The 21411-nt window shown below is 36.1% G+C and overlaps 1 protein-coding gene across 5 annotated transcripts in view; it reads left to right on the top strand.

Moving 5' to 3' along the window:
* Positions 1 to 21411, top strand: part of HTR1F (5-hydroxytryptamine receptor 1F) — a 201134-nt gene that overhangs the window by 19306 nt on the left and 160417 nt on the right. For 4 of the 5 annotated variants that reach the window (NM_001322208.2, NM_001322210.2, NM_001322209.2 and 1 more), the window contains exon 2: positions 9997 to 10113. The gene's annotated coding sequence lies outside the window, so the exon portion shown is untranslated. Of the gene's footprint in view, positions 1 to 6426; positions 6571 to 9996; positions 10114 to 21411 lie in introns of those variants that run through there. The other variant, XM_005264751.4, reaches the window with a different exon arrangement.

Raw genomic sequence — 21411 nt, forward strand, 5'->3', positions numbered from 1 at the left:
TTCTGCCATGATTGTGCGTTTCCTGAGGCCTCCCTAGCCATGCAGAACTGTGAGTCAATTAAACCTATAAATTACCCAGTCTTGGGCAGTCCTTTATAGCAATATGAAAATGGACTAGTACAGTTAATTAGTACAAAGAGTGGGGTACTGCTAGAAAGATACAGAAAATATGGAAGCAACTTTGGAACTGGGTAATGGGCAGAGGTTGATAGAGTTTGGAGGGCTCAGAAGACAGGAAGATGAGGGAAAAATTCGATCTTCCTAGGATTATTTAATGGTTTTGACCAACATGCTGATAGTGATATGGACAATGAAGTCCAGGCTGAGGTGGTCTGAGATGGAGATGAGGAACTTCTTGGGAAGTGGAGCAAAGGTCACGCTTACTATGCTTTAGCAAAGAGACTAGTGGAATTTTGCCCCTGCCCTAGGGAATCTGTGGAACTTTGAATTTGAGAGAGAGGATCTGAAATAGGAACTTATGTTTAAAAGGGAAGCAGAGCATAAACGTTTGGAAAATTTGCAGCCTGGTGATGCAATAGAAAAGAAAAACCCATTTTCTGAGAATAATTTCAACCTGCTGCAGAAATTTGCATAGGTAATGAGGAGCTGAATGTTAATCACCAAGACAATGGGGAAAATATCTCCATGTCAGAGATCTTGGTGGCAGCCCCTGCAATCACAGGTCTAGAGACCTAGGAGGGAAAAATGGTTTCTTGGGCCTGGCCAAGGGCCACTCTGCTCTTTGCAGACTCAGGACTTGGTGTCCTGTGTCCCAGCTGCTCCAGCTCCAGCTGTGGCTAAAAGGGACCAAAGTACAGCTTAGGCAGTTGCTTCAGAGGGTGCAAGCCCCAAGCCTTGGTGGCTTCTACATGGTGCTGGGTCTGCATGTGCAGAGTCAAGAAGTCAAGAATTGAGGTTTGGGAACCTCCACCTATATTTCAGAGGATTTATAGCAATGCCTGGTTGTCCAGGCAGAAGTCTGCTGCAGGGGTAGGGCCCTCATGGAGAATCTTTGCTAGGGCAATGTAGAAGGGAAATGTGGGGTCAGAGCCCCCACACAGAGTCCCCATTGATCACTGCCTAGTGAAGTTGTGAGAAGAGGGTCACCATCCTGCAGACCCCAAAATGGTAGAACTACTAACAACTTGCACTGTGTGCCTGGAAAAGCCACAGGTATTCAATATCAGCCTGTGAAAGAGCTACCTAAGGCTGTGGAAGCCCATCCCTTGCATCAGCGTGCCCTGTATTTGAGACATGGAGTCAAAAGACATTATTTTGGAGCTTTAAGATTTAATGACTGCCCTACTGGATTTTGGACTTTTATGGGGCCTGTAGGCCCTTTGTTTTGGCCAATTTCACCATTTGGAATGGGAGCATTTATCCAATGCCTGTATCCCCATTATATCTTGAAAGTAACTAACTTGCTTTTGATTTTACAAGTTCATAGGTAGAAGAGACTTGCCTTGTCTCAGGTGAGACTTTGGACTGTGGACTTGTGAGTTAATGCTGAAATGAGTTAAGACTTTGGGGGACCGTTGGGAAGGCATGATTGGTTTTGAACTGTGAAAAGACATGAGATTTGGGAAGGGCCAGGGGCAGAATGATATTGTTTGGCTCTGTGTCCCCACTCAAATCTCATCTCAAATTGTAATCTCCACGTGTCGAGAGGGACCAGTAATACTCACATGTCGAGAAAGGGAGGTGATTGGATTATGGGGGTCATTCCCCCATGCTGTTCACATGATAGTGAGTTCTCATTAGATCTCATGGTTTTATACGTGTTTGACAGTTCCTCCTTCATATGCTCTCTCGCCTGTCACCATATAGGATATACCTGCTTCCCCTTCTGCCATGATTTTAAGTTTCCTGAGGCCTCCCCAGCCATGTGGAACTATGAATCAATTAAACCTCTTTTTTTTTTCTTTTTAACAAATTACCCAGTCTTGTGCAGATTTTTACAGCAGTGCTAAACAGACTAAAACACCAGAAAGCCATTGGGATAATCTTTTTAGCATTTTTAAAAGTGGTTACTAGGCTATATAAGGCTATATAAGACCTAATTGGTAAAGGTAAAGGGTGCCTTGTGCCTGGTGGTATGCACTTTCACATTTAAAGTAATGAATGACGCAATGTGGTAAAATTGAAAATGACTGAGACCATAAAATCAAAAACTCACAGATTTGAATCCCAACATCATAACCTAGTGTATGATTTTAACAAAATTACCTAATCTGTCTTAATTTATTTCATTTATTTATTTTTAATGGACAAAAATTGTATATATATATGGTGTGGAACATGAAATATGTATACATTATGGAATGGCTACATCAAGCTAATTAACATATGTATTACCTCATATAATATTCATTTGTGTTAAGAACTCTTAAAATCTCTCTTAGCAATTTTCAAGTATAGAATATATTGTTATTATCTATTGTCACCATGTTATACAATAGAGCTCTTGAACTTATTCCTCTTATCCAACTCATATTTTTGTAATCTATGACCAACTATCATTCTCCAGCCCCTGGTAACCAACATTCTACTCTGCTCCTTTGAGTTCAATCTTTTTAGATTCCAAATATTAAGACTTCTATTATCCATCTGTAAAATTCTGCAAAATTGGAACTATTCAGCAAACATCTTAAAATGATTAAAAGACAATAAAGATAATAAACATGAATGTATGTGGTATATAAATAGATTAGGAATTATTATTTTTCTTCCAGCTTCTATACTACTTGTTTCCTTCTAGCTGTCCTTACTCAATAGAAAATACTAAATTGAAGTCAGAATATGAATTATAATTAGTAAGGGAATGATATGGCTCTAGTTGTTAATATACCTACATAGCTACTTGAAAATTACTCTTATATAGGAGGGAGAGTTCATGAGAAATGCAGGCACCAAAGGAGGAAGTCAGTACCAACATTCATTTTCCTTTCCATCTTTGACAAAATTTAAAAAGCTATGGGCAATGACACATGGATAATCTTCAGGACCCAATTTTGTCACTTGTTATTTTGTAGCCTCTATGGTTCAGGAAAAGGAAGTCAAGGAATGTGGAAAGGGTATTGAGTGGACCAACCTATGGTATTTGCTACAAAAATACAATTGTGTAAAAGGCAGGAATGATGTGTCATGGGAATTCATGAAAGAAAATAACTTTGGGCTATAATAAACAGGGGTAATTTAAAACCCTGACATTAAAAATAGTGTCTGCAGTGTTTTAATGGATGAAGATGGTCAGATTTAGAACATTGTGGGTGAATCAAATATATATATATATATGAACTGATACAGAAGTAGAAAAGATTAATGTTTAATTAAAAGGTAAGCAGCTTAATATATTCCAAATGCAAAGTAAGCTTATGGTAGTATCAGGAAGTGTACTAGCTTGGTACTAGGTTAGCAAATGAGCCTATGGATTTGTCTTTTATTTGCTATGTAATTACCATATTTGAAGATGCATACATTGTATTGACGGCTTTATTTATGTTTTTATTTAATTCCCAAATGATATTAAAAAGAAAGCATCATGACATTTTTATAGAAGAGGGAACTGATGACCAGTTTACCTTGATGATCTAAGGTTATACAATTTATCATTCAAGAAACATTGAAAGTTTTTGACAAGGGAAGTAACATGATGGAAAGTGTAAGTTCCTGCAGTTATTTGACATTAGCAAATTAAAATTCCTGCCTTACTTTACACTGAAGGCAAATTTAGAAGCTCTTGATTACTATAGATGCCAACAGCTTATTCTTCATATAGCATATGGTAATGTCTTAGTAGCATTCCTTCTAAAAACAAAAGTGACACCCAGCTCCCAGCATTTCACTCATCTCCCTCTTTGCAGCATATCAGTGAAGGGGCTTTTGCCTTTTCTGGTATATAAAACAAAAGTTATCTAGGCAATTATTCAATGCAAGTTTTCATTGAGGGATAAATTAATCCATCTATTCTCATGAAATGCACTAGTTTAGATTCATTTTTCAGTTTCATTTGCAGAGAAGTGAACCTTGAGCAAATTTGAAACATGACAGGAAAATGTGATTAAGGAAAGAACTAAGTTTCCAAACACAATTCTATGCAAGAAGAGGGGCTTAATTGAGTGGCTAAATATCACTCTCTTCGGAGTGTTCTTACTGAAATCTTCAGTAACCTCCAAATTGATAAATCCATAAAACAATCTTCAGCCCTCATCCTGTCTTATCACTTGGCAGCATTTGACCATGACTTACAGAAACTATTTCTTGAAATATTTTTAATTAGTTTCTATAGCAATGCTCTTCTGACTTTTTTTACATTTTAAGCATTCTTTCTGTGTTTTATAGGATTTGTTAGTTTGTTTGTTTTTTGTTTTGGTAGTACTTGGAGGTCAACCGGAAGTGGCAAAAAGCAAATGGGTAAAAGAGTAAAAAATCAAATATTCTTAACCTGATGTAAACATTCTTTACAATCTAGCCCCATGTGCTTTTCCAACTTTACCTCTAGACCAGATTAATTTACCATTCTGATTTTCTCAACTCAGAAGTACTTAACAATCACATTCTCATTAAAATCTACCTAGAGTGTCTGCAGAAATTGCTATTTAATTTACTGGGATTTTACAGCTCTTATTTGTATAAATTTGTAATTGAATTTACTATATGTACGTATAGTTTATGTCTAAAAAATATCTCCCCCACCTTCAGTCTGAATGAGCATAGAACATGCCTTTAATCCTTCTGTACGTAGTGACTAGTGACTAAAATAAGGTTAACAGAATCAGTAAATGCATGTTTAACTAGCAAATGAAAGTTCAATGAACTAATAATACCTGATTTTCTTATTAGTAATACCATCTTGGTCAAGTCTCTAAACTTTTTTGTGTTTTTGTTTACTTACCTGAAAAATTGATATAGTAATTATGGCCCCCCACTTTAAAATCTCAGAATATTTTGGTATCAAAATAAGAATACTGGTTACAAAGGTATTTATAAATGTAAGGTATTATGTATAGAAAAACAGACCAATTTGAATGTTATGAGCTTATAGTTTTACTAAAGTTTCAGATAGCCACACATGCACGTGTGAGTGCACACACAAGATATCCCACAAATAAAATGAAATGTTACTGGATTTCCTATCTTTATTAATTCTTGTATTTATCAATGTGTGGAAAAAGTATCAACTTTGCTGATTTGGTAGCCCCATACTTGAATGCTATCATGCGGGAGACAGATACTCCGTTTGGCAATGCATTTTAAACCATCTTAGTTGACATCATTATTGTTTTCTTAGATTTTAAATTCTTGAAAGATGATAAGTACATCTCTATATAGTGTGCAATATATCATTATACAAAAACAGTCAATACCATGCATCTTTGATAGTGATAATAACTTTCTGAATGGTAATAAACATGATCAGAAGCAATACAAAGTTGATATTCAATTAGAAAAGTCAGGCAACAGTTCTTAACATCCCCATTGCAAAATTCCTACATAGAATGGTATGCATTTTAGCTAGCAAAACACTAAAACAGTCGGGAATACTACACTTGTTGCATTACCGAGTGCTCTGGCATTTTGTCGTTGTTTTGAATATGAACTAACCAACACTTTTGGCAATACTGCAAACTTAAATTTTACAAATGAGATGCATAGCTGAAATGTGACTTTATTGCTGTTGTGAGCAATCTTTTAGATGCCTTTACTCCAAGTGACATAAAGGAAGTTTAAATTTAAGAAGTTAAAGTAGACAAATGGTAAGACTACTGAGATGATGTAACTGTATGGCAAAGTTTTCATCATTTATTGGTTTGCCGATGCCACCTCAGTACTATTGCTCATGTTACTGACGAAGTTATGCTATATAAAGCACAGCTCTATCAAATTCAGGAGAGTCAGTAGAAAAATATTTTTCATCAAAGATGGAATTGACAAGTACAAATTCTGTGGAAACTGATAACCTTCAGAAATGGCACTCTACAATTTTAAGATTTAATAAAAATAAAGAGTTATTGTAATTTATCCTTGGTTGTTTTAATGAATTATACAAACAGTTTAACTTTGGGGATTCTGCACGTACTATTTGCATCTTGTTGAAGAAGCTCTCAGCAAAGAGACTTTGGCTAAGATGTAAAGCAGCCCTCAGAATGAATCATACAACCTGCAAAGAGCTGTGCTAAATACATCCATATATATGACAAAAGCTTCAAGTTTTTTCTAGCATTTACATTATTGATACAAATCAACATAGATACCAGAGAGTTTTAAAAATAATAGGTGCACAAGGGAATGGGCATAAAGGAAGGGTGACAGTGGAGCAGCTTCAGGCCCACTGTTTGGCACAGCAGGGTTGCGTATTTCCTATGTCAATTGAAAAACCTAAAACATACCTCTATTTAAGCCATCCTGCCAAGTACTGCACCAAGAAAGCTACTTGCAAAGTGAGGCATCTCCAGCAGCAGAAAAATCTGGGGAGCAGTAGAAATGATGGAAGATGATGGCTCAAACCGAAATGTCATCCTAGGTGTGCACTTGATCCACAAGAGACCTGCAGTCCTGCCATGCCAAACAGTAGGTGGATAGGCTCCTCCACGGCCCCTCTCTTCTCAGACCCCTGTCCTCTGTTTCCTTAGCCTTGCTTCTCTCAAATTATGCTTTCCCCTGTTTACCCATCCACAGGTATATCTTATCAAGTCTAGAGGCCAAACCCTTGTCCAATGGGAAAGAAGCATAGAGCACAAAATTTATGAAGGCACTCACTCAGGGTTGGGCAAGTGCTTCTTTAACTTTGCACCCTAGACCCCTCATTTGCCTCATCCTAGTCCCAGGTGTTGGAAGTAGAGTATGGTATAGCTGGGTAACTTAGAATCTACTCCTTAAGCTCTGCAGGAATTTGACCATCCTCAACAACTAGCACCTTATTGCTGGTTTAATAAACATATATTGCATACCTGCTCCCCTCTGTCTTCAGCTTTGGCCTAAAATTCCAGGAAATAGAAAAAATACCCTGCAATATCCTATTATATACAGAACAACAGAGAAAGCTTACTCCCAGTTTTTCACTGTGAAACACAGTTCAGTGACTTATCTCATGTGCACACTGTTTTACTTCATTTAAATTATCTCTGCATGTTTAGTATCAGCAATAAGATTACTGGTCAAATTATCAGTAATTTGGGGGGATGCATTGGATACTGCCATGGTTCTATTTAAAATAATTTTACCAATTGTCACTATGAATTTTCATGGTTGTTTTCATTTCCCCACAACCAGACACACATATGGGCATTTGTGTTTTTGGTATACAAATCCCATTGTTATACAATAAGATTTTTTTTTTTGCTTAACTTTGAATATTTTACATATTTATACTGGTTGTTTTATCTGTAGACTTATTTTTAGAGGGCAGTTTTATTTTTCATCTAGTTTGCATGTTTGAATCTTCTGGGATCCTGGAAGAATACTAGTAAATTATCTCATGTTAACTAAATTCTCAGTTTTATTTTCTCTCTTGCCTTTTTTTAAAAAAGGCTTTGGATATCATCATTATGCTATGCCTTTTTTAAAAATAATTTTTCTGCTTATTTTCACATTCATACATATGCTGAAATTCAGCAAGTTGTATAAAGAATTGAAATTGGAATATGTGAATTATTTATTAATGAACAAACTTTATAACTGACCAGTATCTCCATCATGCCAATATATAAGGTTATAAAGTTTTAAAATGCATATAAGATAAAAGAATATTAGCTAATAGGGGCAAAAACATTTCTATATATTATAAATTTCCCAAAATGAAACTCAATATTAATTAGTTTTTCAACCAAAAATTTATGATTACTGTTGACAAACTACAAACTATTTAAGTACAATGAGAAAAAAGTTAAATAGTAAATGAGAACAATTTAACTCTTAAAATTATTGGGCCAGTTTTCAAGGTTATTACAATGCTATATATAAGTTAATTCTTAATTTTAATATTCTGCTTTTTATATTTCTGTGTAGATATGTGAATTTCTTTTGGAGAAATAGAAACACTTTAACCCAACTTCAAAAGATAATAATAATGAACAAGTCTAAATCCTAAAACATGATGAGCAAAGATAAAAGAACAGATATGAGTAAAGATTCCAATAACTTGGTTTCCTGGAATCATGACCCATTTTTTTTTTTTTTTTTTTGAGACAGAGTCTCGCTCTGTCGCCCAGGCTGGAGTGCAGTGGCAGGATCTCGGCTCACTGCAAGCTCCGCCTCCCGGGTTCACGCCATTCTCCTGCCTCAGCCTCCCAAGTAGCTGGGACTACAGGCGCCCGCCACTACGCCCGGCTAATTTTTTGTATTTTTAGTAGAGACGGGGTTTCACCGTTTTAGCCGGGATGGTCTCGATCTCCTGACCTCGTGATCCGCCCGCCTCGGCCTCCCAAAGTGCTGGGATTACAGGCGTGAGCCACCGCGCCCGGCTCATGACCCATTTTAACATGATTTATGCCCAATATGACATCAAGATGTCAAGAAATATGAAACAGGATAGTTACATACCATCAAAGATGTAGTCATTTGGATATATGCTAAAAAGTTTTAGAATAATTATTCAATAGCACTTCATAAAATATCTTCACATTCTTTAAATTTAAAAGGTAAATTGTAATAAATTTGAGAGTTGATATGCTCTCAAATACTTGAGAGTATATATTAAAATTAATTTAATAAATTTATTATGATTAGCATTACCAGTTTTCTTTCTTAATGGGGAAGGAATAAACATAAAATAAAGTGGCTAAGATTTACAGATTCATGTAACAATGGCATTTATAACCTTATTTATGTTTTGTAAAGTTCTGCATGACTATTAACTCAGGTAAATCAAATTAAAATTTATCTTGAGTGGTACTAAATATGACTAAATCAAAAGTCAGTCAGTAAGTATTCTTGAATATGTCAAATCAACTATCTTTCAACTGAAGGTAATAATTGATTTTCTCACTGATTTGGACAACAAATAATAGAATTGCCAATGAATAAACCAACCCTTTGGTAATATTTGATATTTCATACCAGTTGTGCTTTATTCAAGATTTTACTTCTACCTAAAAATACTAAATAATGAATGATGTTTATTTTTGGTGCACAGAGATTGTTCAAATTAAATTAAATACGTTGTTTAGATTCTAAGATCCATAAGTTTTTCTGCACTGTTTTTTAATTGAAAGCCCCTGTAAAGAATTTCAGAAACCCATAAGTTATATTTTTGTATGAATCTTTTATTTTCCAAAGTACTTCCAAGTACCTTATCTGCATTGGTACTCATATCTACTCTATGAAATAGAAAAGGCCAGCATCATCTGTTTGCTTTTGTTTTTGTCTTCTCATGAGAAACTGAGCCTATCTTATACATCCAGTCTTCACCTTATGATACCCTACTTTTAATCCCACAAAACATAGAAAGTAGCATGCCATTAGCTTATTTTATATTAAAATGTTCGTGATGTTGATATTGTGATGTCCCTTACTTTCTAGATATATTTCCATCATCCCTCAAATCCCAAAATATTAGGGATTGACTTTTTAGTTATTTGATAACACTGTTCATGCTCCCTGGTGTCAGGGATGATAGTGTCATAAGGAGCTTGTCAGCGAAACCACTGTCCCAAATGTCATAGTTAAGTTTAATTCCAATTATCTAATTTATTCTCTAATCAAATATCTAGTAGATAGTAATAAACGTTAATTACAAAAGGAATAAGCCAAATATTCCCCTTTAGTATGCATTTTATAATGCAACTATTACAGCTGATCTTCATCTCCCCCCAAAAAAGACGTTTTTTCTTTTATTGACTTCTAAACCGGATATTTTATTTCAAAAGTGGTTAGTGGTCAGAGAGGGGGAAAGAAAGGTAACAATTGTTTGAGCAGATCAGCCAGGGTATATTACGGCTGGGAAAATTTCAGGAGAAGAGACAAGAAATGATTTGTTTTATTCTTTGCTTTTTTAAGGAGGAGTTTGGGAGAGAATGAATTGGACTGTGAAACTTTCATGAACTTCTCAAAAGAACAGGAACATGAGGAGACGAAATGGTGATGAAAACCCACAATTCAATCTACCACAGTATGGTAAGCATTCCCAGCTTTAAACCATGAAGAAAAATAAATTGACAATTAGTGAAAAAAAAAATGTGGTAAATCAAAGAACGTAATGCAAAATGGACACTGGAGGGATGAAAGTCCATATGACTCCTGCTTCCAGGAAAGGCCAGAGCCACTGATCATTGGTTCACTAATGGCCAATAGTGTTTCAAGGTGAAAGGAAGGATGGGTCCAGGAGCCTATTGGAGGAAAATAGGGTGGAGACTTGGAGATGGTGTTAAGAGAACATTTGGGTGAGTGAACATAAATCAAAGAAAAAATAAATTAAGAAAAATGCTTATAGAAAGTGAAAGGTAGACATTAAATACTAAATCAGATAAAAACCTGCAGATTTTATATTTAACCATCTTCTCAATTATAATAATGATTTGGAAAATTTAATGTTTTCTTTTATATAATTTGGCAGGGTGATAACTATCCTCAGTGGGATAACAGACTAGTTTTAACTCTTACATCTCCATGTTTCAGAGTTTATTTGAGGCAAAGTATGATTTTTAAGAACAGCTACTGCTTATTTTGCTCAGGTTGCTTATTGCCCAGCCCAGTCTGAGGGGACCATTCATAGCTTATCCATGTGATACACAACCTGCACAAGCCATACGTGTTGCCTCTGATTATATGTGTACATAAGAAATGAAACAACATAATAAATGTTACTCTTGGGAACAGCAATGGATTAAGTGCCCTAATATCTTTATTCAGGTCACTGATCTGCTGGCTCCTAGCCGGATAATATTATTCATATCAATTAGCCTCTCTGAATCCAGAGTGCTTGCTAGGAAAATGGTGACAATAATATTTACCTTCCCAATCTTACACAGTTGTCTGAGTTAGTCAAAGAATGTTTTGTAAAATTTTAAGTTTTATATAAATGCACATTATTATTTAGAAGATTAATGCAACCATAGGATAGTCACTTGTCATATATATGGATTTTAATATTTTTAAGAGACAGCATGACATATATCATGTAAGCTACTGTCACAAAGCTAAAAGTATATATTTAATAAATGATTTTTTAATTAAATGGATGGCAGGAATGTACTGTCTATTGCAAATTTTGTAACAGTTTATATTAATTTATAATTCTATACATTAGATTTTGAAAATCTCAATGGTACCCATTCTCCTTAGTATTATTTTTTAAAAGTTTTTATTTTCCAAGTATACTGATTCTCAGTTATGATGGAGAATATCAACAGTTACTGATTCAAGATGCTCTTGCCCCTGCAAAGTCTACTTCGTAGTTCATCTTCCTTTTCAAGACCTCTAGATGTTGGAACACTTTAGGAATACATCTTCAGCTCTCTTCCCTTCTTTATCCATATCTCCACTCAGGTTTTCTCAACTGGTCCCATATTTTTTTTTTTTTTTTGAGACACGGTCTCATGCTTTTACCCAGGCTGGGCTGCAGTGGCACAGTCACAGCTCATTGCAGCTTCCACCTCCCAGGATCAAGTGATCCTCCCACCTCAGCCTCCCTAGTAGCTGGGACTACAGGCATCAGGCGTGCACCACCATGCCCGGCCAAGGCTGGTCTTGAACTCCTGAGCTCTAGTGATCCATCCTCCTCAGCCTCCCAAAGTGCTGGGATTACAGGCTTTAAAAAAAACAAAAACAGGCCAGGCACAGTGGTTCACGCCTGTAACTTCAGCACTTTTGGGAGGCCGATGCGGGCGGATCACGAGTTCAAGAGATGGAGACCATCCTGGCTAACATGGTGAAACCCTGTCTCTACTAAAAATACAAAAATTAGCTGGGCATGGTGGCGCGCCTGTAGTCCCAGCTACTCGGGAGGCTGAGGCAGGAGAATCGCTTGAACCCGGGAGGCGGAGTTTGCAGTGAGCCAAGATCGCACCAGCCTGGCGACAGGGTGAGACTCCGCCTAAAAAAAAAAAAAAGCTAACATATGCAGAAGTCTCCCAGATCTTTATCCCAGCCCTGAATCCCCTATGATTTCTTACTTAGATATCAAAGAGCTATAAATCTCTCCCTGTATGTCTACTCAATGATTCAAAATAGATATGTACTAAATTAACTTTTTGATGTTCCATCTAAACTTGTTCCTCCACAAGTCTTTCCTATTATAGTCCTACTATACCCTTGGTTGCTTAGACCAAAAATGTGGGGGTCTTACCTTTGTCCAACCCATCAGCAAGTCCTATGCATCCTACTCCAATACATATCCCTAATGATGCCCTTTAAAATGCGACATGATTGGATCCCTGGCCAGTATTTCAAGCTTGTTTATGTAAAACAGGCCTTTTTACTTATCACTCTTCATAGTGCATTATCCCTCCTATAAATTCTATTTCTCTGTTAATTTATGTTTCTCTCTCTATTAGGAAAACATTTTTTTCCGTTTTATTCTCAAGTCAGTATAGTGGACTGGAATAGTGCCTAGCACAATTACTGTAAGCACTCAATAAACCTTGTGAATGAAAGAATGAATTGATACCCATAATATGAATCCCTGAATGAAACAGACCTAGAATTGATGGGAATGAGATTGACAGCTGCACATAACCATCAGTGTCCTGGACTGGGACATGTGTATAGGTGTGCTTTCATAAGCACATTATTTCTTTACGAAATACATTCTTGGAATTACTTTTGACTTCAAAGAGTCAAAAATTACCAAATTAATTCAAATAAATAATAAAATTCTGTTTTCAACTCAAGATAATTCTATAAGTATGAAAGCTCCCAAAACAAGGCAAAAGAAAATGTTTTTGTTTCCATTTTGAATTTTTCATTTTTCCAGCCACCCCTCTCTAGCTTCTGAATTTTTACACTGACGAACAGATTTTGTGTCTTTCTTCCCATAGCTAAAAATGATATTCAGACTTGATAATAGTGATTATAAGAAGTATTATTATGCCAATTATTTCAAATTGTGCAATGGTCAAAGCACATAAAAATATGTCATAGCAATAAATCTGTTTTCCTACTCTTTGTAATGTCTTATTTGCCTTAACAACTTTTCAGACAACAGCTATAATAAATGGACTCTCAAGTATGATTTGCATCTCTCCCATCACAAGAGTAGTGTCTGTTTCAGAACTCACAGTTGTGTATGATATATTTAAATGATCCCAAATAATCGTCCTCAGAGCTGTCCTGACCTTACCGATAATGAGTTTTATAGCCCTTTATATTGTAGTTTGCCTGAGCCTGAAATATATTAATTACCACAAATATATGAAATGTGTGGTTGTAAAATCCCTGACTTCTCTCTCCTAAGTCTAATAATCACTAAAATATGTACTATTGCTTTCATGTCATATTTACCTGGTGCTTGTTTCCCCTTCTATATTCTGTATGTTGTTTGATGGTTCTTTCTCCAGTCTCTCATGCCAGAAGAGTCATTCCTTAATGCCTGGCTCTCCTTCATTTCATATATCCAATTGGTCACTATATCTTCTCAATTCATCATACAAAATATTTCTGGGATTTATGCTGTTTTCATTAGTACCATGGCTTCCTTTAAAAATTGACCCATTTTAGTCTCAGAGTCGCACTCGCCTGTCTTCTAACGCTACCATCACTTTCCCATAAAACCATAGAGGAATTAACTTAGAATCATGTCACAAAGCCTTCTCCCTGAAAGCAAAATGGTTGTCTTGCTGCTATATACCCAATGACAGAGGTACCACTTGAGACAGGAGATTCTACAGAAAGAGTGTAAGTTGTGATACCAGACAGACAGGCAGGGTTTTAGATCCCATTGTAGGGACATACCACCACCTCTATCAGTGGTGTAATACTGGATAAGTTCACCTCTCTGGAACTTAGTTTAACTATGTTTTACTTTGAAATAATAATTCATATTTCATAGGATTGTTGTGAAGACTAAATAAGATCATGTGTATTAAAAAATATTTGCTGTAATGTATTGAATGCTCACTAGAGGATAATTTCCTTCTTGCATTCTCCTACCACTTCTAGGCACCATTGATGGTACCAGAACCTGTCTGCAGAAACTCTGCATGCTTTCCTAGTTCTCCTGTCCTGCTATCATTTGGGGACCAAGGATATCTTTATTTCTCAAACAGTATTAGAGAACCTGGGTGAGACCATATTCTGTCTCAGGGAACCTGTTTGATCAATGCTTCTGCAAATCCTCTTTCTATAACAGCTGGAAACTGTTTCTCTTCATGCTATTTTCTTGCTCATACATCAATGATTGATTTCCCCTAAGTTACAAGCAAAAATAAATATTTCATAGCTTTTTCTACTCTACCCTTGCATATTTTTATGAAATCAGCTCTGCCACTCGTTCTTTTTACCTGCTTGATTTTCTCATAAAGTCCATGTCTTTTTAATCCTCTGTACTTTCCATAGCCAGCCTCTCCAGTTAGAATGCTTTTCCCTGCTTATACATCCCGTAAACGCCCATTATTCTCAGATCAGCTTCTCTATAAAGCATTGCCAACCTTTGCTTCATCTCAGAAAGTAGGTGTTTTCCAGCTTAGTGTTCCTATCCCTGCAGTGCACTTCGATAACGTCTCTTTAAGCCTGTATCTTGCCATATTGGTACTATTTGTCTTACCTACTACCGTGTAAATTCCTTGAATGGAGAACAGTACCACAGCACCTAGAATGTGCTTGAAAGTCCACAAATAGTAGATAATGGAAGGTGTTGCTATCATTATTATTATTATTATTTTGGGGACAGGGTCTCACTCTGTCACCCAGGCTGGAGTGCAGTGGTGTGCTCTTGGATCACTGCAACCTCTGCCTCCTGGTCTCAATAGATCCTCCCACCTCAGCCTCCCAAGTAGCTGGGACTACAAGCATGGGCCACCATGCCCGGCTAATTTGTGTATTTTTTGTAGAGACAGGCTTTCGCCATGTTGCCCAGGCTGGTCTCAAACTCCTGAGCTCAAGTCATCTGCCAGCTTCAGCCTCCCAAAGTGTGGGAATTACAGGTTTGAGCCACCACTATCATTATTTTCTTTCTTTCTTTTTTTTTTTTTTACTTTAAGTCCCAGGATACATGTGCAGAACATGCAGGTTCATTACATAGGTATATGTGTGCCATGGTGATTTCCTGCACCTATTGACCCATCCTCTAAGTTTCCTCCCCTCTCCCCGCAACCCCCAACAGGCCCTGGTATGTGTTATTCCCCTCCCTGTGTCCATGTGTTGTCATTGTTCAGCTCCCACTTATACTATAATTATTTTCATTGCCCTTATCAACTTAATTTTTTTTCCTTTCCCAGGCAGTCACATTCTTATCTGAATTTTCTTTGTCAAACTGTGCTACCATTTTGTATCCTGTGTCATAAACAAGTGTAATTTTTATGCAAGCACTATTTTTATATAATTCTAAACACCAAGACTTTAAACCTAGAAGAAAACTGCAGTATGTATGCTTCTCTCATTTGCATGAAAATAGCATTCTGTAATTGAGATTTCAAAGTTGAGAAATTCTAAAGCCTTTATTTAAAAAATCCTTTGAAAAATTAATCATATTTTTCCAGTTTTGTAAATAAATGAATTGGAAAGCAATGAAGCAAAATTTAACAACCTTCAAAATACACATTCACATTCTATTCGTAAGTTCTTTTATATTGCAAGTTGGTGCCAAAAAACATAGCCCTATCATGATGGTCCTGAGAGAAAACCTCGTTGATTGGAAAAGGGTGAGGTGATCTAGGAATAACTGGCATTCAGCTGTTGTATCATAGTTTCAGTACAACTTGGAAAAATGGCACCACACATTCACAGGAACTGTACCCTTCTCTCCTGGGGTAACTTAATGAACTTCTCTGGCTACCTGCACAAGATCTTCATCACTCAGTTAAGGGCCAGAGAGAGCAGAATATTTAAATATGTAGCAAGTAAGCCTACTCTATGGTAGATCTACACTAGGTTTGAAGAGTTCTATAGTTCCATCTGGGTAGGGGAGGGTAATTGTACTGTTCTCTCCCATATCTGTGATGTGTTTATATTATTTATTTTGTTATAAGATCGTTTTATAAATTCTGTTCCATTTCTCAAGAAGTGTGGTAATTTATAGCATGTCTCTGCATTCTTCAGTTGGTAGATGAGAACTTTCAAAAACCCACTTTGTAACTGACAAAATGAGGAACTTATATTTCCTGGCATAACATGAACTGGGAGTGTCATTCACGTTCGATTAGTTAAGCACTAAAAAAATTAGGCTTATGTTTTTAGCCTCTTTTTCTTACTTTAAAAGGAATTTTTCTAACAAATACAGTTTAAGTGTAAATACAACTCTTAATTGTCCACAACAACAGGGAATGGAAAATTGGGATCTACAGATAATTCAAAATTTTACTTTAAAGAGCACATTCAACCTTTGTTCCCAATGAGCTCTTAACATTGCTTAGAGCTAAGAATTAATTTGTGTGGATTTTATCACTTTTTATTTGACATCTCACCCAAGGAAGAATTGCTGATCAGCAGTGAATTAGGCACTGAGTAGAGTAGCCAGAAAGAGTGAAATCAGAAACCTGAGCACTTGAATCAACCACAAATTTCATATCTAACCCTTGAACATTTTAAATGACATATATCTTCATTTTAGTTTTATAATAGCAATAGACATTCTAAGACAGAACTAAATACAAAACATTTTTTGAGTGCATAGATTTTCTGAAAAAGATCACCTGTTCTATTGTTACTTGAAAATGTAGATTAATATATTTAATTCAACCTTCTGGACGAAACAGTGCTAGAACTATGTCATACTTTACCAAATCCATCCCTTCCCAATAACAAAACAAAGAAATGTTTCCCTTTCCTTCCTGGATTCTTCAGGTGCTTTTCATCAACAGAAAACCACTTGCTGACATGTGGTTCATTTCTAGGGTGGACAAGTAATTTTTAAAAATTTATTGTGGCAAAGTCAGCATACCAAAAAAAAAAAAAGTTAAAAAAAAAAGATCTGTCCTGTGCTTTATTTGTGAGGCTGTGAAGGAGACTTCTATGGCTGTTGCTGTGTTGGGTTATCTTTATTTTACCTCCTGGTTGAGTGATGAGCCTTTTCAAAGAGAAAAGAACCAAAGACATGTCCTTCTGCCTGTTTGCTGCACCTCAGTTTGGTCTCCAGACTCTGATATTGTTGGGTGGCTTCATGAAAATTATCCACCAATTTCTTTAAAAAATCAGTTTCATTTATTATCATTTAAATATAAGTAATATTGTACATTTGTATGTAACAAGCAGAATCTGAAATCCAGTATTGAGACTGTCAAATGAAGCATATGCGATATGCACAATGTGCCTAAAAAGCTGTGATCTTCCTTAAAACATTGAAATCCAAGTCCTCCAAATTTGGCAGAAGAGAAAGTCTCCCCATTCATGAGAAGGCAGTCGAACCACTAACCTTCACGGTCATTCCTCTGGGATTCCCCCCTTCCTTAGGGATCTCTCTGACTGCATTTGCACATTCACACTGTCCTGAGGGACTTAAGGAGCTTTTCATCTATGTTTGCACACTTGTGTTCCACTCACCAAACATGCTATTAACTATTCTTTTTTGGTTCAAGTGAACCAGCCACTCATGCAAAACACACTTTTATGCTCATGGAGATAATATATAGGTCTTCCTTTAGAAAAGGAAATTTGCAAAAATAATGATGTTACTTAATAAAATAAAAAACATAATTTATTCTTGTAATTTACCCTGTTATGTAATCAAAGGTATATACAATTTGTAAGTACATCATAGATTACTGATATGCTCAATTAGAGCCAGTAATTAATATTTGCAACAGAAGCATGAATATGATCTTTAAAAACTGACTAATCACTTTTGCTTGTGTAAAATTTTTTATCCTTAAATAGTCTTTAGTGTGATGTATACAATAGTATTTCCCTAATTTAAGCATTTTCTAGTCTTATTTACAAAATAAATTGAATCCTATTATTTCATTTGAAATGAATTTTTATTTTGAAAATAATTTGGTAGAACATAAAAACAAAATCTTCTTGGGTAGTTAAACATTTAATGTTGACACAGTCTTTTTGTGACATACTTGCTTCACCTGGATATGATTCTAGAGAGTCTATGAGCCCCTTGAAATTGTGTGCAAAAATATATGTGTCCTGGTATTATATCATTCTGGTGTAAAAGGTAGAACAGTTTTCCTCAGAACCATGACATAAAATGAAATCTATGCATTGTGTGTAAATTCCTCCAAGCAGTATATTTTTAATACTGAAAAAATACTCATGTGTGTGGACTCACTGAAGTAAATGAAGTAGTGGTAAGTCCATCAGCATATGCACACTGATATATTTTCAGAATAATAGGAATATTCTTGGTCATGTCATAAAACTATGTATTATAATGATATAACTTCATTATTCACTATCTCATTTTCCTATGCTCTGGTTTATCATCATGAAGACATTAATTTCTCATGATTTCTCGTGCTATCTATGGAAATAATCCTTTATTGAAAAAATAAGTATCTTGAAATTAGTGGCAGCAAAATGGATTTGAGAAGATCTCATTAAAGTGTATTTAGCAACATCTCACTGAATCTTTATATTTTTACACACAGAAAAATATTTTGGATGTTTTAGAAAAAAAATGTGTAGAATTAGAGAGCTCTAACTGTGAACACCAACATTGTTTCGCCACCTGTATCTTGCATTAAGAGACAGATGGACTTGCGCCAGAGATTTAAAGTCAAATAAAGAAGTTCCTGGGTGAAAATCAGTATTACTGAAAAATATTTTACAATGAGTTCTTTCTCTAAGCAATGTTTATGGCACATGTATTGATATTTGAAGTAGAAATTAGTTTTAAGTAAATATGACTTATAAATAATATTACGTGGAGTTCCATGAAAGAAGGGACTGTGTCCTATTCAGTGCAATATCCTCTGAGTCTGACACTGAATTAACAGTTGATAAATGAAAAAATAATCAATGAATCAATCTATGGATGTGGTAAATTCATAGCTATTTTTCTGGCTCCTGGTAGTGTGGGGTCTAAGTATACCCTAAATAACTCTTGAAATATTCTTATATATATGAGAAGAATTTGCTAATATGATGGACAAACATCATGCTCCAATGAAGTAATAATCTAATCAAGGTGAACAAAATATTTTGGTCTACAAAATAAATAACAATGCAAATATTAGTAACTAACTTTAGTAGGGTCTTTGTACTTTAAAAGATATTAAGAAATTATTATTATTATTATTATTATTATTATTATTATTATTATTATTATTTTGAGATGGAGTCTCACTCTGTCGCCCAGGCTGAAGTGCAGTGGCGCCATCTCGGCTCACCGCAAGCTCAGCCTCCCGGCTTCACGCCATTCTCCTACCTCAGCCTCCTGAGTAGCTGGGATTACAGGCGCCGGCCACCACGCCCGGCTAATTTTTTGTATTTTTAGTAGAGACGGGGTTTCACCTTGTTAGCCAGGATGGTCTCGATTTCCTGACCTCGTGATCTGCCTGCCTCAGCCTCCCAAAGTGCTGGGATTACAGGCGTGAGCCACTGCGCCCGGCCCACAGATACAAATTATTTCTATCCAGAAGAAAAACAAACTTCAGTGCTATAGATTATTATCCCAGAAATCTTATACTAATATTATCTCAAAAGGCCTATAAATATTCAGATCTTCAAAATGCCCTTTGATTCAGCCTTGCCGTCTGATTGGTTTACTCATTAATCAAGAAATTGAATAATATCTTTGACACATGTTTATTTTATATTTTTATGAGCCACATTGCTAACTTTTGGAAACTTAATGGATTATTGTAATCTTCACAACTGCATGAAGTAGGTACTAAAATCATCGCCATGCACTATTATTACTATTAACAGTACGATAGGTACTAGTGTCATCCCCATAAGGAAACAGAATTAGTAAGATTAAATTACTTATCACACAGGTGGTAAGAATTTCAAGCTCTCTAATGCCAAGAGCCTGTGTTCATAACCACTATACTGTGCCACCTGCCTAGAAGCTAAAAGAGAACTCGTATTGAGTAACTAAAGCTAAAATCCGTATCTTCCATGTGTCTTGAAAGTATTGTCAAAGGCAAAGAGAATTTATAAAAGTACTTCGTCACTAAATTAATGTGATAGTAGAAATAATTAATTATATGTAATGTATAATATGTATTATACACACAAAACACACACATAAGAATATCCCTTCTTTTTTTTTTTTTTTTTTTCTTTTTTTTTGAGATGGAGTCTCGCTCTGTCGCCCAGGCTGGAGTGCAGTGGCGCGATCTCGGCTCACTGCAACCTCTTCCTCCCGGGTTGAAGCAATTCTCTTGCCTCAGCCTCCCGAGTAGCTGGGACTACAGGCGCACGCCGCCACACCCGGCTAATTTTTTGTATTTTAGTAGAGACGGGGTTTCACCCTGTTGCCCAGGCTGGTCGCAAACTCCTGAACTCAGGCAGTCCGCCCACCTCAGCCTCCCAAAGTGCAGGGATTACAGGCGTGAGCCACCGCGCCCAGCCAGAATACCCCTTCTTGTAAGAATTGTTCATCAGAGTAACTAGTTCACAAATGAATTCGTGAATACAGACCAAAACTTTGGCCTCTTGGAGAGAATCAAGCTGTGTCATTGTCAGACAGCCACAGAGTTTCTTTCACATTTCACATTATCAAGATTACATATTACTAACAAAATAATGTTTGAAAGTTATATTTGAGTTATTTGAAACTTTTATCAAGAGTTCCAGGAATGAAAAGCCTCTGGATAGTAAGTAGATAGATAGAGAAAATATTTGCCAAGTTTTGTTCCGTCTGTTGTTTTGTTTGCTTTTGTATTCAGACTGGTGTAACAGGACTTACGTGTCTGGAAATCACCTTTTCCTTACTCAAAGGTTCTTTAAGGTCTGAGGGTCTTAACAACACCTTTCTCCAGCTGTCAAGGAAAAGCTACATATGAGAGATTTTTGCCTCTTGTTTAGAATTTTTAAGCTGCAAAGGATAACACTCTGTTTTTCTCAGCAGTGTTTTCTTCTGGCCCCAAATCTGCTTGCAATATTGTCATTGTTTCCACTGGCAGACTCTGCTTCCTTTGGGAGGTGTTTCTAGATAAAGGCATATAGGGTGAAGAGACTTCTGCTTCCCTTAAGTATCCAGAATGTCTCCAAACTGGAACTAGGGAAATATAAAAATTAAAAACCTTAACTATTTTTCTTTTAAAGCCATTTCCCAAGTGTTGTCCTTGAGCTTGCTATATCAAAATAACTTAATCTACTTGTTTAAAAAAATGCAGATTTCTTGGCCTCATTCCTGACCTTTTG

Source organism: Homo sapiens, chromosome 3 (assembly GCF_000001405.40).
Source record: "Homo sapiens chromosome 3, GRCh38.p14 Primary Assembly".
Lineage (NCBI taxonomy): Eukaryota > Metazoa > Chordata > Mammalia > Primates > Hominidae > Homo > Homo sapiens.